The following is a 26,782-nucleotide window of genomic DNA, read 5'->3' on the forward strand; positions in this document are numbered from 1 at the left end:
TTCCAGGATTTGTTTCAAGATTTAGAGCTCCCTTTAGCAGTTCTTGTAGTGCTGGCTTGGTAGTGGCAAATTCTCTCAGCATTTGTCTGGAAAAGACTGTATGTTTCTTTCATTTATGAAGCTTAGTTTTACTGGATACAAAAGAGTTGGCTTGTAATCATTTTGCTTAAGGAGGCTGAAGATAGGGCACCAATCCATTCTAGCTTGTACGGTTTCTGCTGAGAAATCTGCTGTTAATCTGATAGGTTTTCCTTTATAGGTTACCTGGTGCTTTTGCCTCATAGCTCTTAAGATTCTTTTCTCTGTCTTAACTTTAGATAACCTGATGACAATGTGCCTAGGCGATGATCTTTTGGGGATGAATTTCCCAGGTGTTCTTTGAGCTTCTTGTATCTGGATGTCTAGGTCTCTAGCAAGGCTGGGGAAGTTTTTCTTGATTGTTCCCCCAAATATGTTTTACAGACTTTTAGATTTCTCTTCTTCAAAAATGCCAATTATTCTTAGGTTTGGTCATTTAACATAATCCCAGACTTCTTGGAGGCTTTGTTCATATTTTCTTGTTCTTTTTTCTTTCTTTGTTGGATTGGGTTAACTCGAAAACCTTATCTTCAGGCTCTGAAGTTCTTTCTTCTGCTTGTTTGATTCTATTGCTGAGACTTTCCAGAGCGTTTTGCATTTCCATAAGTGTGTCCATTGTTTCCTGAAGTCTTGATTTTTTTTTTTTTATACTTTAAGTTCTAGGGTTCATGTGCACAACGTGCAGGTTAGTTACATATGTATACATGCACCATGTTGGTGTGCTGCACCCATTAACTCGTCATTTACATTAGGTATATCTCCTAATGCTATCCCTCCCCACTCCCCGCACCCCATGACAGGCCCCGGTGTGTGATGTTCCCCTTCCTGTGTCCATGTGTTCTCATTGTTCAATTCCCACCTATGAGTGAGAACATGCAGTGTTTAGTTTTTTGTCCTTGTGATAATTTGCTGAGAATGATGGTTTCCAGCTTCATCCATGTCCCTACGAAGGACATGAACTCATCCTTTTTTATGGCTGCATAGTATTCCATGGTGTATATGTGCCACATTTTCTTAATCCAGTCTATCATTGATGGACATTTGGGTTGGTTCCAAGTCTTTGCTATTGTGAATAGTGCCGCAGTAAACATATGTGTGCATGTGTCTTTATAGCAGCATGATTTATAATCCTTTGGGTATATACCCAGTAATGGGATGGCTGGGTCAAATGGTATTTCTAGTTCTAGATCCCTGAGGAATCGCCACTCTGATTTCCACAGTGGTTGAACTACTTTACAGTCCCACCAACAGTGTAAAACTGTTCCTATTTCTCCACATCCTCTCCAGCACCTGTTGTTTCCTGACTTTTTAATGATTGCCATTCTAACTGGTGTGAGATGGTATCTCACTGTGGTTTTGATTTGCATTTCTCTGATGGCCAGTGATGATGAGCATTTTTTCATGTGTCTGTTGGCTGATAAATGTCTTCTTTTGAGAAGTGTCTGTTCATATCCTTCACCCACTTTGTGATGGGGTTGTTTGTTTTTTTCTTGTAAATTTGTTTGAGTTCTTTGTAGATTCTGAATATTAGCCCTTTGTCAGATGAGTAGATTGCAAAAATTTTCTCCCATTCTGTGGGTTGCCAGTTCACTCTGATGGTAGTTTCTTTTGCTGTGCAGAAGCTCTTTAGTTTAATTAGATCCCATTTGTCAATTTTGGCTTTTGTTCCCATTGCTTTTGGTGTTTTAGACATGAAGTCCTTGCCCATGCCTATGTCCTGAATGGTATTGCCTAGGTTTTCTTCTAGGGTTTTTGTGGGTTTAGGTCTAACATTTAAGTCTTTAATCCATCTTGAATTAATTTTTGTATAAGGTGTAAGAAAGGGATCCAGTTTCAGCTTTCCACATATGGCTAGCCAGTTCTCCCAGCACCATTTATTAAATAGGGAATCCTTTCCCCACTGCTTGTTTTTGTCAGGTTTGTCAAAGATCAGATGGTTGTAGATGTGTGGTATTATTTCTGAGGGCTCTGTTCTGTTCCATTGGTCTATATCTCTGTTTTGGTACCAGTACCATGCTGTTTTGGTTACTCTAGCCTTGTAGTATAGTTTGAAGTCAAGTAGTGTGATGCCTCCAGCTTTGTTCTTTTGGTTTAGGGTTGTCTTGGCAATGCGGGCCCTTTTTTGGTTCCATATGAACTCTAAAGTAGTTTTTTCCAATTCTGTGAAGAAAGTCATTGGTAGCTTGATGGGGATGGCATTGAATCTATAAATTACCTTGGGCAGTATGGCCATTTTCACGATATTGATACTTCCTATCCATGAGCATGGAATGTTTTTCCATTTGTATGTGTCCTCTTTTATTTTGTTGAGCAGTGGTTTGTAGTTCTCCTTGAAGAGGTCCTTCACATCCCTTGTAAGTTGGATTCCTAGGTATTTTATTCTCTTTGAAGCAATTGTGAATGAGAGTTCACTCATGATTTGGCTCTCTGTTTGTCTGTTATTGGTGTGTAGGAATGCTTGTGATTTTTGCACATTGATTTTCTATCCTGAGACTTTGCTGAAGTTGCTTATCAGCTTAAGGAGATTTGGGGCTGAGACAGTGGGGTTTTCTAAATATACAACGATGTCATCTGCAAACAGGGACAATTTGACTTCCTCTTTTCCTAATTGAATACCCTTTATTTCTTTCTCCTGCCTGATTGCCCTGGCCAGAACTTCCAACACTATGTTGAATAGGAGTGGTGAGAGAGGGCATCCCTGTCTTGTGCCAGTTTCCAAAGGGAATGCTTCCAGATTTTGCCCATTCAGTATGATATTGTCTGTGGGTTTGTCATAAATAGCTCTTATTATTTTGAGATATGTCCCATCAATAATTAATTTATTGAGAGTTTTTAGCATGAAGGGCTGTTGAATTTTGTCAAAGGCCTTTTCTGCATCTATTGAGATAACCACGTGGTTTTTGTCTTTGGTTCTGTTTATATGCTGGATTACGTTTATTGATTTGTGTGTGTTGAACCAGCCTTGCATCCCAAGGATGAAGCCCACTTGATCATGGTGGATAAGCTTTTTGATGTGCTGCTGGATTCAGTTTGCCAGTATTTGATTGAGGATTTTTGCATCAATGTTCGTCAGGGATATTGGTCTAAAATTCTCTTTTTTGGTTGTGTCTCTGCCAGGCTTTGGTTATCAGGATGATGCTGGCCTCATAAAATGAGTTAGGGAGGATTCCCTCTTTTTCTGTTGATTGGAATAGTTTCGGAAAGAATGGTACCAGCTCCTCCTTTTGCATCTGGTAGAATTTGGCTGTGAATCCATCTGGTCTTGGACTTTTTTTGGTTGGTAAGCTATTAATTATTGCCTCAATTTCAGAGCCTGTTATTGGTCTATTCAGAGATTCAACTTCTTCCTGGTTTAGTCTTGGGAGGGTGTATGTGTCCAGGAATTCATCCGTTTCTTCTAGATTTTCTAGTTTATTTGCGTAGAGGTGTTTATAGTATTCTCTGATGGTAGTTTGTATTTCTGTGGGATCAGTGGTGATAACCCCTTTATCATTTTTTATTGCATCTATTTGATTCTCTCTTTTCTTCTTTATCAGTCTTGCTAGCAGTCTACCAATTTTGTTGATCTTTTCAAAAAACCAGCTCCTGGATTCATTGAGTTTTTGAAGGGTTTTTGTCTCTATCTCCTTCAATTCTGCTCTGATCTTAGTTATTTCTTGCCTTCTGATAGCTTTTGAATGTGTTTGCCCTTGCTTCTCTAGTTCTTTTAATTGTGATGTTAGGGTGGCAATTTTAGATCTTTCCTGCTTTTTCTTGTGGGCATTTAGTGCCATAGTTCTTTTAATTGTGATGTTAGGGTGGCAATTTTAGATCTTTCCTGCTTTTTCTTGTGGGCATTTAGTGCCATAAATTTCCCTCTACACACTGCTTTAAATGTGTCCCAGAGATTCTGGTATGTTGTGTCTTTGTTCTCATTGGTTTCAAAGAACATCTTTATTTCTGCCTTGATTTTGTTATGTACCCAGTAGTCATTCAGGAGCGGGTTGTTCAGTTTCCATGTAGTTGAGTGGTTTTGAGTGAGTTTCTTAATCCTGAGTTCCAGTTTGATTGCACTGTGGTCTGAGAGACAGTTTGTTATAATTTCTGTTCTTTTGTATTTGCTGAGGAGTGCTTTACTTCCAACTATGTGGTCAGTTTTGGAATAAGTGTGATGTGGTGCTGAGAAGAATGTATATTCTGTTGATTTGGGGTGGAGAGTTCTGTAGATGTCTATTAGGTCTGCTTGGTGCAGAGCTGAGTTCAATTCCTGGGTATCCTTGTTAACTTTCTGTCTTGTTGATCTGTTTAATGTTGACAGTGGGGTGTCAACATTATTATTGTGTGGGAGTCTAAGTCTCTTTGTAGGTCTCTAAGGAGTTGCTTTATGAATCTGGGTGCTCCTGTATTGGGTGCATATATGTTTAGGATAGTTAGCTCTTCTTGTTGAATTGATCCCTTTACCATTATGTAATGGTCTTCTTTGTCTCTTTTGATCTTTGTTGGTTTAAAGTCTGTTTTATCAGAGACTAGGATTGCAACCCCTGCTTTTTTTGTTTTCCATTTGCTTGGTAGATCTTCCTCCATCCCTTTATTTTGAGCCTATGTGTGTCTCTGCACGTGAGATGGGTTTCCTGAATACAGCACACTGATGGGTCTTGACTCTTTATCCAATTTACCAGTCTGTGTCTTTTCATTGGAGCATTTAGCCCATTTACATTTAAAATTAATATTGTTATGTGTGAATTTGATCCTGTCATTATGATGTTAGTTGGTTATTTTGCTCGTTAGTTGATGTAGTTTCTTCCTAGCATCGATGGTCTTTACAATTTGGCATGTTTCTGCAGTGGCTGGTACTGGTTGTTCCTTTCCATGTTTAGTGTTTCCTTCAGGAGCTCTTGTAGGGCAGGCCTGGTGGTGACAAAATCTCTCAGCATTTGCTTGTCTGTGAAGGATTTTATTTCTCCTTCACTTATGAAGCTTAGTTTGGCTGGATATGAAATTCTGGGTTGAAAATTATTTAAGAATGTTGAATACTGGCCCCCACTCTCTTCTGGCTTGTAGAGTTTCTGCCGAGAGATCCACTGTTAGTCTGATGGGCTTCCCTTTGTGGGTAACCCGACCTTTCTCTCTGGCTGCCCTTAACATTTTTTCCTTCATTTCAACTTTGGTGAATCTGACAATTATGTGTCTTGGAGTTGCTCTTCTTGAGGAGTATCTTTGTGGTGTTCTCTGTATTTCCTGAATTTGAATGTTGGCCTGCCTTGCTAGGTTGGGGAAGTTCTCCTGGATAATATCCTGCAGAGTGTTTTCCAACTTGGTTCCATTCTCCCCATCACTTTCAGGTACATCAGTCAGACATTGATTTGGTCTTTTCACATAGTCCCATATTTCTTGGAGGCTTCGTTCATTTCTTTTTACTCTTTTTTCTCTAAACTTCTCTTCTTGCTTCATTTCATTCATTTGGTCTTCAATCACTGATACCCTTTCTTCCAGTTGATCGAATCGGCTACTGAAGCTTGTGCATTTGTCACGTAGTTCTCGTGCCATGTTTTTCAGCTCCATCAGGTCATTTAAGGACTTCTCTACATTGGTTATTCTAGTTAGCCATTTGTCTAATCTTTTTTTCAAGGTTTTTAGCTTCTCTGTGATGGGTTTGAACTTCCTCATTTAGCTCGGAGAAGTTTGATCATCGGAAGCCTACTTCTGTCAACTCATCAAAGTCATTCTCTATCCAGCTTTGTTCCATTGCTGGCGAGGAGCTGCATTCCTTTGGAGGGGGAGAGGCGCTCTGATTTTTAGAATTTCCAGCTTTTCTGCTCTGTTTTTTCCCCATCTTTGTGGTTTTATCTACCTTTGATCTTTTTTGATGGTGACGTACAGATGGGGTTTTTGGTGTGGATGTCCTTTCTGTTTGTTAGTTTTCCTTCTAACAGTCAGGACCCTCAGCTGCAGGTCTGTTGGAGTTTTCTGGAGGTCCACTCCAGACCCTGTTTGCCTGGGTGTCAGCAGTGGAGGCTGCAGAACAGCTAATATTGCTGAACAGCAAATATTGCTGCCTGATCATTCCTCTGGAAGCTTCATCTCAGAGGGGTGCCCGGCCGTGTGAGGTGTCAGTCTGCCCTTACTGGGGGGTGCCTCCCAGTTAGGCTACTCGGGGGTCAGGGACCCACTTGAGGGGGCAGTCTGTCCATTCTCAGATTTCAAACTCCATGCTGGGAGAACCACTACTAACTTCAAAGCTGTCAGGGACGTTTAAGTCTGCAGAGGTTTCTGCTGCCTTTTGTTCGGCTGTGCCCTACCCCCAGAGGTGGAGTCTACAGAGGCAGGCAGGCAGGCCTTCTTCCTGGCAGCTTTGTTTACCTACTCAAGCCTCAGCAATGGCGGGCGCCCCCTCCACCAGCCTCGCTGCCACCTTGCAGTTAGATCTCAGACTGCTGTGCTAGCAATGAGCGAGGCTCCGTGGGCGTGGGACCCTCTGAGCCAGGCACGGGATATAATCTCCTATTGTGCCATTTGCTAAGACCGTTGGAAGAGCACAATATTAGGGTAGGAGTGACCCAATTTTCCAGGTGCTGTCCATCACCGCTTCCCTTGGCTAGGAAAGGGAATTCCTGACCCCTTGCACTTCCTGGGTGAGGTGATGCCTCGCCCTGCTTCGGCTCACGTTCGGTGGGCTGCACCCACTGTCCTGCCCCCACTGTCCGACAAGCCCCAGTGAGATGAACCCAGTACCTCAGTTGGAAATGCAGAAATCACCCCCATCTTCTATGTCACTCACCCTGGGAGCTGTAGACTGGAGCTGTTCCTATTCAGCATCTTCTTGATTGTTTTTTATTTGATTTCACTGAGTATTTCTCCCTTCATTTCTTGTATCTATTTTTTTTTTTTTTTTTTTTTGAGATGGAGTCTTACTCTGTCACCCAGGCTGCTGGAGTGCAGTGGTGTGATCTCAGCTCACTGCAACCTCTGCCTCCCAGGTTCAAGCAATTCTCTTGCCTCAGCCTCCCAAGTTGCTGGGACTACAGGCTCACACCACCATGCCCGGCTAATTTTTATATTTTTAGTAGGTTCACCATGTTGCCCAGGCTGGTCTTGAACTCCTGACTTGTATCACTTTTTTTTATTTCCTTAAATTGGGCTTTGCCTTTCTCTGGTGCCTCCTTGGTTAACTTAATAACTGACCTTCTGAATTCTTTTTTAGGTAAGTCAGGGATTTCTGCTTGGTTTGGATCCATCGTTGGTGAGCTAGTGTGATTTTTTTGGGGTGTTAAAGAGCCTTGTTTTGTCATATTACCAGAGTTGGTTTTCTGGTTCCCTCTCATTTGGGTAGGCTCTGTCAGAGGGAAAGTTTAGGGCTGAGGGCTGTTGCTCAGATTCTTTTGTCCCATGGGGTGTTCCCTTGATGTAGGGCTCTGCTCCTTTTCCTATGGATGTGGCTTCCAGAGAGGTGGGCTGTAGTGATTGTTATCTCTCTTCTGGGTCCAGCCACCCAGCAAGTCTACCAGGCTCTGGGCTGGTACTGGGGGTTGTCTGCCCAGAGAGCTGTCTGTGGGCCTCTTGGACATGGACACCAGCACCTGTTCCGGTGGAGGTGGCAGGGGGTGCAATGCACTTAGCTTTGGTGGTCTAATGCTGTATTTTTGTGCCGGTTGGCCTCCTGCTGGGAGGTGGAGCTTTCCAGAGAGCATCTGCTGTGGGAGCATAGAGAGGAACCCGCGGTGAGTGGGGCCCTGGAACTCCTAAGAGTATATGCCTTTTGTCTTCAGCTACCAGGCTGGATGGGGAAGGACCATCAGGTGGGGGCGGGGCCAGTGTCTGAGCTCAGACTCTCTTGGGCGGGTCTTGCTGTGGCTGCTGTGGGGCATGGGGGTGAGATTCGCAGGTTAATGGAGTTGTGTACCTACGAGAATTATGGCTGCCTCTGCTGAGTCATGCAGGTTGTCAAGGAAGTGGGGAAAAGCCAGCAGCACAGGCCTCACCCAGCTCCCACACAAATTGAAGGGCTGGTCTCACTCCCACTGTGTCCCCCACAGCAGCCTTGAGTCTGCTTCCAGGCAGTGGGCCAGCAGGGTTGAGAACGTGCCCCAGGCTACCTGCCTCCCAGCTGTGAAAATGGGGCTTTCATTCTTCCTCTACCTGTGGAGTCTGTCACTGGATTCACACCCTCCCCCAAGTTCTGGCCAGGAGGCTTCTCCTTAGGTTGGAATTGTTACAAAGTTCAGCTGGAGGTTTCCTTCTCCCTGTGGCCTTTCCCCAGTGCCTCTGGCTGCCCTTCCAAAGGACCCCTCTGAGGTAAGGCAGAGATGGCTTCCTAGGGAACCAAGAGAGCCCACAGGGCTTTTCCCACTGCTTCCTCCGCCCCTGTATTTCGCTCGACTCAGCTCCAGGTGAGCTCAGAATCTTCTCCCGTGATCTAGACCTTCAGGTTCTGCAGTGGGGGTGTGTGTTTGGGGGTGAACGGTCCTCCTTTCCCACTTCCATAGCTTGGGCACTCACAGTATTTGGGGTGTCTCCCAGGTCCTGCAGGAGCAATCTGCTACCTTCAGAGGGTCTGGGGGTTCTCTCGGCTTTCCCGATTTATTCCTGCAGTCGTTCTGGATGCAGAAGTTCACGACACGAGACTCCACACACTTTTTCTCCATCTGAGTGGGAACTGCAATCTGGTTCTGCCTGCAATCTAGTCCCATCCACCATGATCCTCCTCCTGGGTGTTTACTATTCCTGATAGGTGTTTTTGAGCTTTGTTCTGGGACACTGCTGAGTTGTTTGGGAAGAGCATTCTCTGTGAGGCTTGCCTTCAAGATTGGGGCAGGAGTGGCCCACCACAGAGACAGTGCCTGTCTGGGTGCTCTGCCCAATGCCCTGAGTATTACAGCTCAGGCTTCCACCCATGGTAGAATCCGCCGGCATACTGTCCCATGCTGCTGTTAGGGAGAGCAGGAGGGATCCAGCTCTCTTGGGAAGCAGGTGCTGTGGTCTTGGGGGGGTCTTCCTCTGGATCCTGGTTTCCTCACCTGAAGAGCTGGGGGATCTGGCCAGGTGATCCTGACATTTCTTCCTGTGCCAGAAACCTCCCTTTTTACATTGGGAGCAGTAGACAATTGGTCTGGGCAGAAGCTAAGCTGTGTGTAAATCATGCACAATTTTGTTTTTAGTTCTGATATTTTTAAAACACTGGTACTACCACTTGGAAAACATAACATGCTCAGTGGTTTATTTTATAGAGTGATCGTTGCTGCCAATTCTTATATCTCAAAAGGGACTTCTAGTTATTAATGTGACCTAAGCCTTCCTGCCAGTAGTAACCCAGGCAGACTGAAAACCACCGGAGAGTGACTCATACAACATGTGTCTCCTTTGAAGATGGCCATGCCCTTGAGCCCTGGAGCCGACGGCTGTTTCCTTAACACGGGGTGGTGGTTACTGTACTTGGTTAGTGTAATATCTGACTTCCACCCCAGGAAGTGCACTCGCAAATTTTAAATCACACTTGTTGTGTAACTGAAATGATAATGGTAAATACAGGTGCAAGATTTTTTTCCTTGATGAAAAAGTTGTGGCTTTGGACCTGGCCGTGATTTTTTTTTTCTTTTTTAAGTTGTGGCCAGCCTTCTGCCTCTGGATAGATGGAGGGGACATACTTTTCCCTGCTCCCCCATTAGTACAATCAAAACCCTGGACATGAAATAAGAAACCAGTGTAAGAAGACTCTGAAAGGCAGGCTGGAGAAAGCGGCCGGCCAGGGACCTCAGACCCCAGGAATGACGCCATGGCAGGGTCCCTGGGTTTTCTTTTTGCCTGGGATGTCCCAGACACAGAGCTGAAGAATCCAGCAACCCAGAGCCAACTGGCTCAGACAAACCATCCCCAAGAAGAGCCTGCTTCCTCCAGCCACAGAACCAGTTAGGCAGCAGCCTCACAGCAGACATTTCCCGACATGGATGTGCAGATGGCCAAGGCACACAGGAGAGACGCCACGGCGAGGTGCTAGGGAAATGCAGACAGAAGCCATAGGGCCTGTGAGCTCACCTAGGAGAACGGCAACGTTAGAAATGGCACCACCACCAAATACAGGCAAAGGTGTCGGGAACCTGGGTCCCTCATACACGGCTGGTGGGAGGCAAGGCCCCTCTGGAGACCAGCTGGGCAATAAACATCCAGCTGCTGTAGAGCCCGGAAATGGTTCAGCGCCAGGTATCCTCCAGTGGGCGAGTGGCGAAAGATACAGTGGTGCAGCCACACCGTGGGTCACTCTGCGGCGAGAAGGGTGAACCGTGGGCCACTCCGCGGTGAGAAGGGGTGAACTGTGGGTCACCACCCAGCAGTGAGAAGGTTGAGCTGTGGGTGCCCATGGTAACCTGCGTGGCCCTCCAAGCATCACACGGACTCTCGGGAGGTCGCCTACTGTATGACTTCATTTCTATAACATTTCTGAAATGGCAAAATTATGTAGTTGGGGAGCAGATCGTGGCTTCCCATGGTTACAGAGGGGGCAGGGTAGGAGGGAAGTGAATGTGACAATAACAGGGACCCTTGTAGGGACAGGAGTGTTCCCAACCTTTGTCCCCTGGCTGTGATACTGTCCCGCTGTTTTCCAAGATGTTCTCATTGGGGGAAATAGGGAAAGGGGATGTGCGGCATCTGTATATTCTGTCTTACAACTGCATGTGGGTCTACAATTATCTCAAACTAAAAGTTTTTTTTTTTTTTTTAAGAAAAAGTCATGGCACTTCAGTGAAAATTTAGAATTTTAATGCATTTGCAGGTGATTCAGAACCTAAGCTTCCTATCACAGAGATTGCCCTTCCTTCCTTCCTTCCTTTTATTTTCTTCCCTTCCCCTTCCCCTTCCCCTTCCCCTTCCCCTTTCCTTCCCCTTCCCCTTTCCCTTTCCCATCCCCTTTCCCTTTCCTTCCTTTTCTCCCCTTCCCCTTCCCCTTCCCCTTCCCCTCCTTCCTTTTTTTTTTCTTTCTTCTTTTTCTTTTCTCTTTCTTTTTTTGAGACAAGGTCTTCCTCTGTTGTCCAGGTGGGAGTGCAGTGACATGATCACAGCTCACTGTGGCCTTGACCTCCCAGCCCCAAGCGATCCTCCCGCCTCAGCCTCCCAGGGAGCTGGGACCACAGGTGCCCACCTGGTTAATTTATTTGTTGCAGAGATGGGGTCTCCCTCTGTTGCCCAGGCTGGTCTCAGACTCCTGGGTTCAAGTGATCCTCCCACCTTAGCCTCTTAAGGTGCTGGGATTACAGGCCTCAGCCACTGTGCCCAGCCAAGATCGCCTTTCAGTACAAAGTGAAATGTGCTAGATTCAGTTCTGGAGATGAGGACTGATGGCTCACTGTCACCGTCTTAACATTTATCGATCAAAATGTGAATGTGTTGAAGTCAGTGCAGAGATTTTGTGGATGATCCCAAGCTGCTTTTCAGAAAGTCACTCATGGCACTTCCTGAGGGCTGTGTGGGTTGTTGTGGGATGAAATGGTCTCTTGTCCATCTTGAAGCATCTTTAGCGTCCATCGCAGTGGCCACTGCAGATCAGAGTGCGGACGTCCCTTAAGAGCCCTTCTAGGTATCACTGTGAGGCCAGCTTAGTGGCGTTGCTCTTCTCCTGGGTGCTGAGTGGCTGCCAGAGCCCCCAGCACCTCCACCGGGCTTCTCCCATCCTGGGCCTGGTCTTTACCGTGACCTCTGGCCACACCAGGGGCATTTGCAGTGAGGAGGGGGCTCTTTACCACAGCGCTCCTCTCTCAGAGCTGGATTTACGACACTGGTCTCGTGATCAGGAGCCGGGGGTGAAGTCCTGGGTCCTCCTTCCTCCTGGAGAGACAGGCCATACTCAGTAAGCCTCCTCAGGGTGTTCTTACACTCACCTGGGTTTGGGACCCGAACCTTGGACTTCTCTGTAGGTAAACAATTTAGCCCAGAAAGAATGCAAGTCAAATGTTTACAGCCTGGTGAGGTCACAGGAGCTGCAGAGACATGGACCGTCCCACCCCAGGATGCCCCCGAATCACAGGAGGTGGCTCTGAAGGCTGCTCGGGTGTGGACAGGTCTGATTGACTTCTCGGTGTCCTCTGCATCGCGTGGTGGTATTGAAGCCCAAATCCAGAGGCTCAACACTGAGTAAACAGCCCGACAGGGACAGAGTGGAGCAAAGCTCTAAGGGGGCCAGCCTCCTCGTCAGCGACACTGAGGTTCACTGTGGTGATTCACCGGCGGTGGAAAGACATCCATCAGCTGTAAAGCTTTGTCTTCCACACAGAAACCTCCTGCCATAAAACGACTTTACCAGAGGTCAACCCAAAGCACTTCTTCAGCCTTCAGATGATGACTGGGAAATAAGTTGTTTTATTACCTCCTCAGAGACCCCGAAATAAAAGATAGGCAATCTGCACTGTTAATTTAACGACTTCCCTAAGGAAAGTATGAAGGTGCAGTCCCGGTCTGAAACTGACCGCGAAGCCCACTGGGGAACCCTGTGCAGCAGAGGAAGCACTCTGTCTACGGGGGTTTGGGGAGGCCCTGGTGCAAACTCAACCTCTCTTGCATATGCTGTGGGTTTTCCCCGACTAACAGGCTCAGGACCCTTATTTTTCCTGGTCAAATGCAACTCAGCATGTGTGTAAGACGCCAAGTGCTTTAATGCATGTCCTGATTGTGTCAATGAATCAACTCATGGGTACATTCACAAGTCCTCATCAGGCCAGTCCCCTGGGCACCGCCTGCCCTGTGCCTTGTGGCTCAGGTGCGTGTCACGGACGGCACGTTCCTCGGCACCCCAAACCCCTCGCACTGCCACGCTGTCCGTCTGCAGCTCCCGTGCTCACCCTGGTGATGGTGGTCTTGAGCAGAGTCCACAGTGTCTGGAGGGCTCGTCTGCATCTGAGATTCACGCTGCGTTGCTGTGATTCCCGGTGAAGGGACAGCCCCGGTCCCAGCCCTCCTGTGATCCTATCGTGGTGAGGGGCTGGCACAGTGCTGTAGGGGGTGTCTGCTCTGAGCTTGCACCCACCCTGGCTCCTGCCCCCGGGCTGATCCAGGCTCCCCAGGGCAGATGCAGCTGTGACCAGACTCTGCCCAGTGGGTGTCCCACAGTGTGCTGCCCTCACAGGCCCCCACACGGACCCCCCGCACAGACCCCCACACAGGTCCCTCAGACCCGCTCCCACCCCGTTGGAGAACTGTGGGTCTCCTCGAGCCAGGAACGCCATGGTCTGGGACTCAGTGCAGAGTGTGCCACGTGGGGCCGAGCCCTTGGCATGAGCCGGCTGGACCTCCCGCATGGCTGAAGCCCATGCCACACCCAAGGTGGGGGTGTCTGGGCCACCACCAGCTGAGATCTCCCACTCCCGCAGCCTTTGGGTCTCTCTCCAGTCGCCCCGTCTGCCTCCCAGGAGGGTGTCAGGAAGGCCACGAGAAGACGTATTGACCAGAACAGCCTCACACACCCTTGAGACTGGATGATTCTCTGCACCCTGGTTCCTTACGAGGGTTGGGGGGTGAGCAGAAAAGCTCATGAAACCTAGCAGCCACCCCCAGGGCCGGAGCGCAGGCCACGCCCCCCCAGCAGCTATGAGCTCCGTCACCTGCCAACAGCAGCAGTGTCCTTGTGGGGAAAGGAGATGCCTCCATTTACCAAAGCTGTGATCATCCGAGGTGCGGAGCCTCCCAGCCGCCCCAACATCATTTCATTTTAGGATGCGAGGCGAGACTTGAAAGCCCCTTTCTCTCGGCATGAGGAACCCCGGCCGCGCTCCCCATTCTCTCTGCATGAGGAACCCCTGCCGCGCTCCCCGTTCTCTCTGCATGAGGAACCCCAGCTGTGCTCCTGGGCGGGAAGGAAGAGCTTGCCGCAGACCCCAGCTGGGTGCCTGAGCCTTGCCACTTGGGGGAGATTCACACCATCCCTGCTCGTTTTCATAAGGAATAAACTCAATATAGTTACCGTATCAGTTCCCAGATTGGTGCTGGAGAAAAATATCAACTCTGCCTCTAGGGAGATGCCAGTGAAAGCTCTCAGACCAGGGTGGCCAGTGCGGGACCCAGAGTGGACTTGAATCTGTTCGGAGGAGCTGGGCACTCCCAGGCCTGGGACGGGAGGAGGGAGGCCAGTCTGGGGAGCTTTTTCTGCAATGTAGACAAGGTTTTAGCTTTCTATACTTTCCCTCCTCCAAAGTGGAAATCCATACATGGGAGGCTGAGGTGGGAGGATTGCTTGAGCCCAGGAAGTCGAGGCTACAGTGAGCTGTGATTGCCCCGCTGCTCTCCAGCCTGGGCGACAGAGCAAGGACCGACCCCCCAACCCCACCACTGAAGTCTCCCCGAAACAAAATTAACTAAATGCTACGAACAGTGGGTTAATTAGAAATTAGCTCCTGGGATGGGTCTAAATGTTGACCATTGTGTATTAGCAACCATGACCCTTTAAAACAGATTCTCTTTCAAAAAACTGCTTCATCTATTTTAAATAGCAAAACTATGGGAACGACAACTGTCTCGGCAGCCAGATTTTATTTTCCCTTTTCCTCAAATGCTCAATGCCCTATGACAGCCAGATGGGAATGAGTTTCTGCCGCCATCAGTGAGCACTGCACAGAGAGTGGTGCGGCAGCCAGGAGAGGGCAGTGGTGGCCCGGGGCTCGGTCCTGGGGTGCCGCTGGAAGGAAGCTGGAGCCCTGTGTCTCGGGGGCTGTCTATGAGGACTTGAATGGAGGTGGGAACGTGTTATTGGAAGTGGGAAAGAACACCCTTGTGTGGAGGTGGGAAGTTTACCAGAGCAGTCACCTGTGGTGGTAGAGAACCCGAGGGCACAGGACAGGACCTGGCCCTTCCCCAGTGGGTTCTTCATCCCCCTGGAGAGTCCCCTTCATGGGTCCCCAGGGAGGACTGTGGGAGGTGGGCCCACAGTTCTGGAGCCCGCAGGAGCCCACCCGACGCTCATGTGGTTGGGACCAGGAGTCACTAAAAGTCGCTCAAGTGTCAGCTGGTGTCTCCCCTTAGAGCAGCTTGTTATCAAGAGACAGCAAAGCACCTGCAGAACCTCCTGTCCCATCTCTAGGAGTCTGTGCCCACCCAATGTCCTCTCATTCTCCAGCAGCAAGGCCAGCCGAGCCCCCTTTCCTCCTCAGGCCCTTCTTCTTGCATACTTCTCAGGCCTTTCCCAAGCTGCCTAGGGTTTTGTCCTCAGGATGGAGCTGGAAAGGGGAGACAGGCAGTGCGCCGGGCCCGGCGAGCACCCTCTCCTTTGTAAATGAAGATGCCTCTGATGACGTCCGCGGGACAACCTGGGTGCAGCCTCAGCCCCGTCCATGGGTCCAGCCCCTCCGTCTGCAGTGGCATCCTGAGGGCACCTTCCTCCCTCTGTACCCCATGACAGCTCCCAGCTTTGCCATCTGCCCGAGCCTGGTCCCTCCAGTCCCCGTCTCACACGTGCAGAGCTGACATCCACCCTGCCGGGCCCTTCTCCCCATCCAGGTGGAGGCCGGCGGCCCTGCAGGGTGAGACGTGCCCAGCCTCTTCCCAGTTCACCTGTCAGCCCCGCAGGCTCCTCGTGGTTCCTGGGTGTCTGCATCGCCTCCCAGGTGACGGGTCACCTCCGACCCTCCTTTCACCCTCCCTCTGTGAGGCCATCTTCACTCACCCGTGGAAGTCTACTTGGCTGCCCTGTGGCCCTCCCACCTGCCCGTCCTGCCACCTCCGCTGGTCTCTGAGCCCCACACCCACACAGCTTGGCCTTCATCAAACTGCAGGGCCCATGTCCAAGTCTCCCTCCCATGGTCCTGTGGACTGATAAATAGGGGGCTGGAGACAGATGCAGGAGTAGGGGGGGAGGGCTGTGTTCACCAGGCCGGAGAGGAGATGCAGGAGTGATGGGGGCCTGTGTTCACCAGGAGAGGAGACGCGGGCATGGGGTGGGGGGAAGTGTTCACCGGGAGAGGAGATGGGGGCGTGGGGTGGGCCTGTGTTCATCAGGAAATGGGAGCAGGAGTTGTGGGGGTGGGGGCTGTGTTCACCGGGAAAGTTCCCATGTGTGATCTGCCTGCTTGTCCCTTCTATCCTGGCTGCCTTCACTGCCCTGTAACAGGTGACAGGAGCAGAAGGTAAACAAGGACAAGAGGGAAAGGTGCTTTTTTCCCTCTGTCGGGGAAAGCTGGTCATGGTGGGGATGGAAGGAGGCCCCAGGAGCAGGAGGGCCACAGAGGAGCCCAATGGACCTGTTAGGAGCACCGGGGGTCCTTGACCCTCTGGGCAGCCAAGAGGAGCATCTGACATAGGAGCTGGGGTAGAGAAGCAGCTGCTGGAGAGGAACATCAGGGGGAGAGAGGAACATCAGAGACGGGGAGGAGCACCTGGGGGAGAGGAGCAGCTGGAGGGGAGGAGCACCTGGGGGAGAGGAGCAGCTGGGGGGGGGAGGAGCAGCTGGAGGGGAAGAGCACCTGGGGGAGAGGAGTAGCTTGGTGGGGGGAGCCTCTGAGGGAAAGGAACAGCTAGGGGAGGTGCCTGGCAGCACAGAAGGAAAGTGTGAGGATCTCACCAGCCTCGTCTAATCACCTCTTCTTAGACAATGAGCAGCTTCCCTGGGGTTGAACCTGGAGGACTTGCTGTGACCAGTGGAGATCACTGATTGCCTACACCAGGTCCCTAGTGCCTGACCATGGATTGGTGCCTGTCCGTGGCCTGTTAGAAGCTGGGCCATACAGCAGGAGGCAAGCAGTGGGCGAGGGAGGGAAGCTTCCTGTGTATTTACGGCCACTCCCCTTGAGGGACACAGAGCCAGACCCTATCTCCAAAAAAAGAAAGAAAATCCATCTCCATTAAACAGTAGCTCCCATTGCCTCTCCTGCCAGCCCCTGGCACCCACCATTCTACTTAGTTCCTGGGTTTGCCGACTGTAGATCCTGAATATATACGTGAAATCATGCGGCATTTGTCCTTCTGTGACCGGCTCATTTCACCCAGCCTAATGTCTTCAGGGATCCTCCTGTCATAGCGTGTGTCCGAATCTCCCTCCTGGTTACAGCTGGATAATATTCTGCTACGTGGATATTCTGCATTTTGTGTAGCCACTCATCCATCGATGGATGCAGGTTGCCTCCACTGGCAGCTACCTGGATTGTGCTGCTGTGAGCTGGGCGTGCGCTTCTGTTCCAGTCCCTGCTTTCCGCACTTCTGGGCATTTCCTGGGTGCAGCTTGTGGGTCTCTGTGGAGGAGCCCGGTCACGGGGTCCCTCTGCCGTCTGAGAGCTCGTGGTTTATATGTGCCATTGCCGCCATGTGGCCTCACAGCCATGTACAGAATTCTGAGTTCGAAGTTGGGTGCCCACTCCCTCACTCTCTGATTCCTAAGAGGGAAAAGAATTCACCCGTGCTGAGTGTTCATCCCATGCTGGGCGTGGGGATGTCCTCTTAGATGTGGGGTCCCTGTCTGGGGGCACCATATGGCGGGCAGATGGGCTCTGAGGTCTGGGGCTGGTTCCCTGGCCTGCGTCGTCCAGGTAGCATCCTCAGCACTGCAATGAGGTGGGGGGTCCACGTGCCCCTGCCCCGGCACACAAGCCCCTGAGCTCCAGGCCACGGCTCCGGAGGGAGCTGCTCACCGCGGTGTGCTTTCCCCTCCAGGTGAATGAGAAGATGTAGTGTGACAGCAGCCCGGGTGACACCTGCTGGGAGCTTGGCGTGGACACCCCAGCCACCCCCAGCCCAGCCCAGCCGGAGCACCCTACCCCTGGGCATCCCCCTGGCCATCCAGCCTCACCATGTCCAAGAGGGGCATGAGCAGCCGGGCCAAGGGGGACAAGGCAGAGGCCCTCGCGGCGCTGCAGGCGGCCAACGAGGATCTTCGAGCCAAGCTCACAGACATCCAGATCGAGCTGCAGCAGGAGAAGAGCAAGGTGGGCGCTCCCCAGACCTCCACCCTTGAATGTCCCTCCCTCCTGCCTCCCCTGGGGCCCAGAGGCTCTTCCTGGAGTGGGTTTGGCCAGATCCCTGTGGAAACCCCCACCCAGTCCTAAAGGCTGCTTGGGACAGACCACTTGGTGGGGGGTGGGGCGGCAGGCAGTGGGAGACTTGAGGGCCTGTAGGCACAGGTGCCGTGGTGGTGACCGCAAACCACGCTGAGCTCACAGAAATTATCCTCTGCTGCATGGGGACAGCCCTCCCATCTGAGGCCGCAGGGCCTTGGGGTCTGTGTCCAGTGGTGCCATACCTGGAAAGGACGCTGACTTTCCCACTGCAGTGTCCATGGTGGAACTGACCTGAAACAGAGTGGGCAGGTATGGCTCTCACATGGGAATAAAGGAAAAGGATGGGCCATCGGTTTAGAGCTTCCAGATTTGGAGGAACAGCACCCGTTAGCGAATGTGGAGATGCAGGGGCAAGCCCGGGGGATGGGGAGGCCCACGATGGCCTCTGGCTGGATGCCCAGCACTTTGGGGCTTTTGAAGCCTCGGGAAAGATTGGGCTGTGCTGAGCTGTGCTGGCAGCCAAGGGGGTGGGGGTCTGAAGCAGGGGGAGGGGCTGACCAGAAGACAAGACAAGCCCTGGGGTGGGCTACCCACGCCTGAACCTCTTTCCACCTCTAGCATGACCTTTGCCCTCTCCTTTCCATCTCCTGGTCCCCAGGAGCCATTAAGAAGTGTGCCCAGGTTCCTGGAAGGAGAAGGCGAGGGAGAGAGCATCTGGAGAGAAGGCAGCTCCAGGAAGGGGCTGGGAACGAAGGCAGGTGCCTGCCGTGGGCTTGGAAGGGCCTGGGTCACGCGTGGATGGTGTCCCCACTCCAGGCCCTAGTTCTCTCCCTCCCTGTTTCTTGCCCATCAAAGGCATCTCTCTTGGGACCTGCATGGTCTGGCGGTGGAGGGGAGTCGGGTTATTTGGGGGTGGTTGCTTAACCTCTGACTTATTGACCCTCCTGTGATTTCACCTCCTTGTCATATCAAAAGAAGAAGAATGTTTCGTGACACGTGATCATCATGTGTAGTTCAGATTTTGGTGCCCACACCACAAGGAAAGTTGTATTAGAACATGAGTCATCCCAGCACATTAGGAGGCCAAGGTGGGAGGATAGCTTGAGCCCAGGAGTTCGAGACCAACCTGGGCAACATAGGGAGACCTCATCTCTACAAAAAAAAATGGACACATTACGCAGGTGCGGTGGTATGCTCCTGTGGGCTCAGCTGCTCGGGAGGCTGAGGCAAGACAATTACTTGAGTCTAGGAGGTTGAGGCTACAGTAAGCTGTGATTGTGCCACTGTACTCTAGCCTGCATGACAGAGCGAGACCCTGTCTCTAAAGAAATAAAAATGATTTAAAAAAAAAAACCCACAGCTGCACCTGCTCATTTACATATTGTCCTTGGAGTTGACCCACAAAACCTAAAATATTTACCATCTGGCCCCGCCCCCGTTCCTCCCCCTCCTGCCATGAGTCCCTCCTCTGTAGAATGGGGATGAACACAGCCTGTGGCCTGGAGGGGGGAGTGTTGCTGAGGCTTCGGGGCACAGCTCGGGGAGTCTCGCTTCTCGGATACCAGAAGGCCGATGGCATGGGGACACGATCAGTAAATGTGCGTCTAGCACCTGCTCTGTGCCAGGCGCCCATAAATCCCAAACAACAAGGCCCAGAGGCCCCGACTCGCTGCAGGAGCACAAGGTCAGGGTGCTAATGCCCCCCGTCAAAAAATGGGGAGTTGCCCCAAATGGAGAGACCAGGCTGCACGGTGAGCCTCAGACATGGCTGTCGTCTTCCCTCTCTGCATTTTGCTGGTGGAAGAAGAGATGACTTGTCAAGAGCCCAGTGAGAATGAAACCCTTTGTTTTATTGAGTAAAAATATAACAATTATCTTTTTTTAAAAAAACAAAGTCTTACTCTGTCACCCTGTCTGGAGTGCAGTGGTGTGATCTCAGCTCACTACAGCCTCGACCTCCTGGGCTCAAGCAATCCTCTCACCTCAGCCCCTCAAATAACTGAGACCACAGGTGTGCACCACCATGTCCGGCTATTTTTTTTTTTTTTTTTAACTTTTTTGTAGAGACTGGGTCTCGCCATTTTGCCCGGGCTGGTCTCAAACTCCTGGACTCAAGCAATCTTCCTGCCTCAGCCTCCCAACATGCTGGGATTACAGGGCTAAGCCATTGCCCCCAGCCAATAATTATCTTCTTAACAAAAACACCACATGTGGACATCCCCAGGTTTAGTCCCCAGTTCTCTGTCCACCTAATTACAACAGCATCATGTGATTTTTTGTGCAGTTTTGCCAAAACACATCCATCTGTGACGCCCCGAGGGACACACGCTCCTTGATGGTCAACAGGCCAGGCTTGCGGGCTCCCCAGGTGCCGGCAAGGTTCCAGGGCCGGCGTCTGAGGGCTGCAACCCAGACCCGCTGGGCACCCTGCGGGGCATGTTTAGTTGTACCTGGAGGAGAGGATGTGCTCTCTTGGCACAACGTGCAGAAGGCACCGGAGGAAAGGAATGGAGAAGAAGCCTGTTTGCCTCAGAGCTCCTCATCCTGGACGCCCTCGCCAGAGGGTTCATGTTATGGTTTCCTGCATAAGCGATCTGAGCCCTGCCTCCTCAAGCGTAACTGACAGCATGCTGGATGCACAGGCAGCAACTCCCTTTTGCCAAGTGATCACAGCGCCTCTTGGAGTCAGTTCCACGTGGAACAGTGCAGCTGGCACAAGCTCGTCCATGTTATTCACATGCCCCACCGTGGTGGGCCTGTCGACGGCATCCAGGCTGATTCGATTCTCGGCTGATACTGCAGCCCTGTACCTGGGTCTTGGACTACATGCAAAAGAACTCCTGCAGGAGACGTTCTTGCAAGCCAAATTGCTGGGCCAGAGCGTGTCTATGTTTGCAGTTTGACGGTGACGTCCCCAGGGCCCATGGAGAACAGAGAGGGCCCTTCAGGGAGATCCAGCTGGCTCCCAAGGGCAGCTCCAGGAGTTGGGTCCGGGCAGAGTCCTCACTGCTGGCTTACACTGGTGGGAAGGTGCTGGCTGCTCTGGGACCAGTGGGGTTCAAGATCATGGCTCGGCGTTGCTCCTTCCTGCAGACCTAGTTATCCTGGCTTAGCCAAGGACTCTGAAATATTCTCATCTCTGCCAGGGGGTTCTTTCTAGGTTGGGGTTTTCACACCTCACTGTGCAGCAGAGCCTGGACCTTGGTCCTGCTGGAGCAGAAGCTGCTGAGAGGCACGGGGAGGCATTGAACCTGCCCAGGGCCGCTCAGCATCTGCATCGTGGACTTGCCCTCCCACACCAGCTCCTCTGGCCAGCTCTCTCCCTCTCCCAGCCCTTTCATCCTGCCAGTCCCGGGGGACAGTGGATTTCCAACATTAAAGGAGTTTCCAGGAGATGCAGAAAATAATTATTCTTCATCTCCTCAGCTTCCAGGGTGTGCAGCTACTGGAAGCAGGGGCTGGAGGGGAAAAAGGACGGGTGGGACACAGGTGGAGCCTCAGACAAGAGAGGGCCCCTGGGCCACCAAGACCCCAGAGCGCTCTCTGACCCTGCTCCTACCTCATTAACTCGTCCCTCCCCTGCCTCCTTGCCCCACCCCTCCCCTGCCTCATTCACCTGCTCTTCTCCTACCTGGTCCTGTCTCCCACTGGTGCCTCCAAGCCAAACCTGGACCTTCCCAGCCAAGTGTCATTTAAAACATTCAATGCCAGGTGCAGTGGTTCATACCTGTAGTCCCAGCACTTTGGAAGGCTGAGGCGGGAGAATCGCTTCAGCCCAGGAATTCGAGACCAGCCTGGGCAACATAGCAAAACCTGGTCTCCACCAAAAAAAAAAATTATATATATGTATATAAATTATATACACAAATGTATATATAAATTATATACGCAAATGTATATATAAATTATATACGCAAATGTATATATAAATTATATACGCAAATGTATATATAAATTATATACGCAAATGTATATATACATATACACGCAAATGTATATATGTATACAAATTATATATGTATATATATACACACACATACATGCACATATACACACATACACATATATATACACACACATATATATATACACACACACATATATATATACACACACACATATATATATATATACACACACATATATTAAAAAAAACTGGGCATGGTGGCACTCACCTGTAGTCTCAGCTACGTGGGAGGATGGCTTGAGCCCAGGAGGTCAAGGCTGCAGTGAGCCATGATTGTGCCACTGCACTCCAGCCTGGGTGACAGAGCAAGACTGTCTCAAAAAACAAAAATTTTTTTAATTAAAAACATTTGAGGTTAAAAAAAGATTGTGTGCACACAGAAAAGAATATGGCAGACAGGCAGCTAGGCACCCCCCACAATTAACGAATGACCTCATTTGGGTTCAAATATAAGCAAACTAGAAGCTCTCCGCCCGGCTGCCTGCCCTTGTTCCTGCGCGCCCGCAGAGAGGTGTGGGTCCCCCTGCGCCCGGGCGTCTTCTGTCCTGAGAACGACAGTGAGGGTCTCACAGACGGTAGTGAGACCTCAGCTCATTGCACCTGAGGGCCCTGAGGATCCTGAGGACCCTGGAGCCTCCGGCCGCTTTTCTTCCAGCTCCCACCTGGGCTTTCTCCTCTCCCTACTCCATTCCATAAATGGAATATCCCATCTGAGTTGACCTTCGAGTCTTCCTGAGTGGGGAAGGGCTTGAGGCTGTAGCTTCTGTGTGGTCAGAAACAGGACTATGGGAAGCCTTCGGGGCCCCTGGGCTCTTGCAGCTCCGCAGCTCACACAGCATCTTGGCCTCTACCACAAAATGTGGGGATCCTTGATTTGCCAAACACTTGCATAAGTCTTGGCCAAGCAGGGAACAGAAAATAGGAATTCAGTCATTACAATTGGCAGCATCAATGCTTCTGAAGTCTTTACTGTGTCCGTGCCAAAAGTAATATCGTCATTACAACCCCAGGACAGGATTCTGTAACTAGGCCTGCAGCTGTGGAACTGGAGCCTCCTATCTAATTTCCAGCAGATCCAGGTGTCTCAGAAGCACCCGTGGGGGAGAATCCAGTTCTGGACCTCAAGAGGGAAATCAATGGCCAGCCAGAGGAGCCCTTCCCAGAACAGACCGACCCTGCCCCACCGGCCTCCTGTAGCCTGGAGGGGACAGGCAGCCCCCAAGCCATTCTGGAATCCAGCCGTGCTCTGGAAGCTCCCACAGCCCACTGGTGGCCTAGGCGGCATCTGGTGGCCTCCACCAGCTCAGGCACGGGCAGGTGCTCCCGGGCTGCTGGTGCCTCCAGCAGGGTCTCAGCCTTTGCAGCTCCCAAGGCCGGATCCCAACGTGGGGCCCACGATAGATGGGCTCAGCCTTCTGTGCAGTTTTTGCCTGTGGTTATGTGAAGATGTGCTGTCACGTGGTGGTTAAATCCGTTTACATTGAACAGCCGAGGGAGGGGAGCTGCTTGTTTCTCTGCTGCGGTACTGGACTGCCGTGCAGTGGGGAGCTCATCTCTTTATCAAAAATCATCAGAATTCTGCAACTGCTTCATCACATTTTGCAGACTGTGATTTTCAGGGTAAAGAAGGTCCCTGTGAGTTCTGGAAAAAGCGTCTTGGATTTCAGTCCGATGGTTAATCGATCACTGAGGAAGACTTGAGCAGACTGAGATCTGACAACTCAAGAATAAAATGATTTAAATAAAAGCTGACTCCTCCAGGTGCCAGCCCTCTGTCGGGAGAGAGATGGGACCGTTCCCAGTGAAGAAGGGGAGGGGCTCACAGGGAGGGCTCTCGAGGGAACCGCAGGGGCGTGAACTCGGCCTTGTCTTGAGGAAGGTGCAGCGTGGGCTCCTTTAAAGCAGGGAAGAGCCATACGTGTCATGAGGATGTAAGTCACCGTGTTTTTGTCGTGGACACGAAGGCTCCAGCTCTGGTCTGGGCACAGCAGGGCCCCTGATGCCTGTTCTGGGGTTTGGCCACTGCCCGCCCTCCTGCAGGCTGAGCCCCAACTCTTGGAACTGTACCCTGGATGAGGAAGTGCAGGGAGCAGAGAAAATTCACGGCTATCACACCTTTCGGAGGTGCCCGGAAAGTCCTACAAGATCCCAGCTCTAATGGAGGGGCCTGCCTAGAGGTGGGAGACGCCATGGAAGCTCCGGCCTCCTGCCCCCACAGGAAACATGTCCCAGGCAGCTGTGCCCCTGCAGACCTGTGGAGGGAGGCAGCAATGACGGGGACAGGGGCCGAGGCAAGGGGTGGCAGAGCCAGCAGACGCAGTGAGTAGTGCTGGGGTTACTGCTGAGGAAGTGGCCTTGGAGCAGAGACCCCCCCCATGAGCACAGCAAGGTCCCAGGGTCGGGGGTGGCTCCAGGTGGGGCTAGAGCCCAGGTAGACATGGGGTGAATGGGCATGGGTGTGACCTCGAGCGCCGGGAAGTCCAGGGCAGGTGCAGCCCTCATGGGGAGGGTGCAGAAGAGGTCAGCAGAGGTGGCCATGGGCCCCGGGGGCCATGCGGGTGTGGGGCAGGAGGGGGCCTAGTAACCTATAGTCTGCCTGGGGACACTTTGGAGGGAGAAAGGGGGTTACTGATCACTATGCTGGAACAACAAGGAAAGCCGGCCTCCCTGGACCGCTGGGCATCCCACCATGGCGAGGCAAGGAGCTTGGGCCATGCTCCAGGCACAGCCAGCAGCCTCTGGGAGCCTTAAAGCTGGACATGACCTGACTTCTATTTGCATATTATATATTATAAATATGTTTATATATTTAAAATATTTTGACGTGTTAAACATACCCTCTGGCTGCTGTGGGAGGGGCTGAGGGGAGCAGAGAGCAGTGGGAGGCAGCTGCTCAGAGGTCCGTGCCATGGCTGAGGGTGGCAGCCGTGGAGGGGCATGGGGCAGAGGCACCAGGATATGTGGGCAGGCAGGGGTAGAATCTGTGGGTGGATGGTGTGTGGAACTGCTCTGGGACACGGGGGAGAGGAGCCAGGAGGTGTTGGCAGGCGGGGGTAGAGCGTGCGGGTGGACGGTGCATGGGATGCTCCAGGCTTGGGTCTGAGCAGCAGTGGCCGGGCTGCCCTTTGCTGAGGTGGCATCTGGGCGAGGATGATGGGCACTGGGGGCCGGAGGACATCAAGGACTCTGCGTGAGACAGGACACCGTGGAGCCTCACACCAACATCCAGGCGGGGGCTGACATTTGGGTGGTGAGCACAGGTGCCTGCTGTCCCGCGGGGCACACGGGCCTCAGGTGTGGGAGCGGGGTCTCCGGGTGGTGGGAGATGCTGCCCAGAGAACAGTGCGAGGGGAGACGGGGCTGGGACCTGCCCTGGGCACTCGGCTCGTCAGCTGGGAAGCCCAGAGAGGGCAGCGAGGAGGCCATACTCTTGGACTTCACCCACCTCATGCCTGCTTCCAGAACATTCCATCCCGCCTCTGTTCTTTCGGGCTGTTAGGTTTTAAGAAGGGTCTCTTTTCCTGGTTCCTTATTTTGTTCAATTGTATTCTTTTCTTCAGTGTTTTTGTCTACAAAGTCCCGCTTGGCTCTGTGTTCACAGAGATTTATGTGAATGTCTTGCATTTTAAAGAAGTCTCCTGCCTTCCCCTGGGGACTGTCTGCTTATTACTGTGGGTACCTGAATGTTCTGAGCCTATAGGAGTGGGGAAATAGTTCCCATGAAGGGTCTGGGATTCGGATTCTCCTTGTCCACAGCCACGTGTCTCCTTGGACAGGGCAGCTCTCCACCTCCCCTTGGACACCGGCTCACATGGTGGACGCATCTGACTCTCCAGCCGCCGCTTCTTGGTCAGCCTGCCTCTGCCTGGCTGCGAATCCCCTCTCTCGCTCCCTCTGTCTTTCCCTTCTGCCCCCTTTGGCTGCTCCATTCTTTCCTACTCCTTAGAAAAAAATAGACAGTTCTCATCAGAGAGCATGCACAGCTAGGGTTTGAAAGACTGTGACCGTCCCACTTTCTAAAGCGTGACTTACTGAAATATACAAGAAACACACCTACCTAGTGACCAGGATGCTGTATATCCCTGGTCTGAAAGCAGTTGTCACCTCAGTTCAGGGCTCACTAGCCACTCTTGGCCTGCTTTAGGGGATTCAATTTGCACCTCCCAGGATTCTGTGATAAAGCTCAGGAGGTAGATGATCTGTGAATGGCCGAAAGCATTAGCAGTATTATTTAAGGACATGCAAATCAAAACAAAGTTGAATGCACCCAGTCACTTTTATACATGGCAGATCCCCGGGGTTGCTGATTGGGTGGAGAAGTGATGCCCTCAGAAGCCGCTGGAAGCCTCTCTGCAGGTGCCTTGGCCACCAGTGCACAGCCCTGAGATGCTGCCAGGCTTCTGTGACAGTGACTCCACTGTTAGAAAAAGCGGAATCCAGCAGATACACAGGGTGTTGGTTTTAGCTCTGCTAATGATAAGGAACAAAGCGGCCACCTGGCTGTCCCAGCCTGAGGAAACTGCTAAGGACGTTAGGTTGTATTTACGCAGCAGACTGCCCTGCAGCCATTAGAATCTTGTTGAGGAAGAATGTTTGCTAATAGAGGAATTCCTCATCATAGGGCTAAGAAAAGCCTGGGAAAGAGATAGCGGGGCTTTGTGGAGTTTTCCTTTTGAGGAAATCTTTGCCTGTACCAGGTCATGGAGACACTTTCCTATGTTTTCTTCTAGAAGCTGTGTTGTTTTACCTTTCAATTTTATATCGGAAACCTACCAGGGATTGATTTTGGCACATGAAG

At 51.3% G+C, this 26,782-nt stretch overlaps 1 protein-coding gene across 48 annotated transcripts in view, besides 1 other annotated feature; it reads left to right on the forward strand.

Moving 5' to 3' along the window:
* Positions 1-26,782, forward strand: part of JAKMIP3 (Janus kinase and microtubule interacting protein 3) — a 148,495-nt gene that overhangs the window by 50,635 nt on the left and 71,078 nt on the right. For 45 of the 48 annotated variants that reach the window (NM_001392043.1, NM_001392055.1, XM_011539676.3 and 42 more), the window contains exon 2: positions 17,674-17,945. The exons of the other annotated variants lie outside the window; for them this stretch is intronic. In NM_001392043.1, the coding sequence (NP_001378972.1) occupies positions 17,811-17,945 (135 nt within the window). In that variant the 5' untranslated portion in view covers positions 17,674-17,810. The remainder of the gene's footprint in view (positions 1-17,673; positions 17,946-26,782) is intronic. 48 annotated transcript variants of the gene reach the window in all.
* Positions 20,426-20,926: an enhancer, noted in NCBI's record as "H3K4me1 hESC enhancer chr10:133920928-133921428 (GRCh37/hg19 assembly coordinates)". NCBI's record gives its function as "activates a minimal SCP1, AML or CMV promoter by ChIP-STARR-seq in naive H9 embryonic stem cells {active_cell/tissue: H9 hESC(naive)}" and the evidence as "EXISTENCE:reporter gene assay evidence [ECO:0000049][PMID:30033119]".

This window comes from Homo sapiens, chromosome 10 (assembly GCF_000001405.40).
Source record: "Homo sapiens chromosome 10, GRCh38.p14 Primary Assembly".
In the NCBI taxonomy this organism is placed as follows: domain Eukaryota; kingdom Metazoa; phylum Chordata; class Mammalia; order Primates; family Hominidae; genus Homo; species Homo sapiens.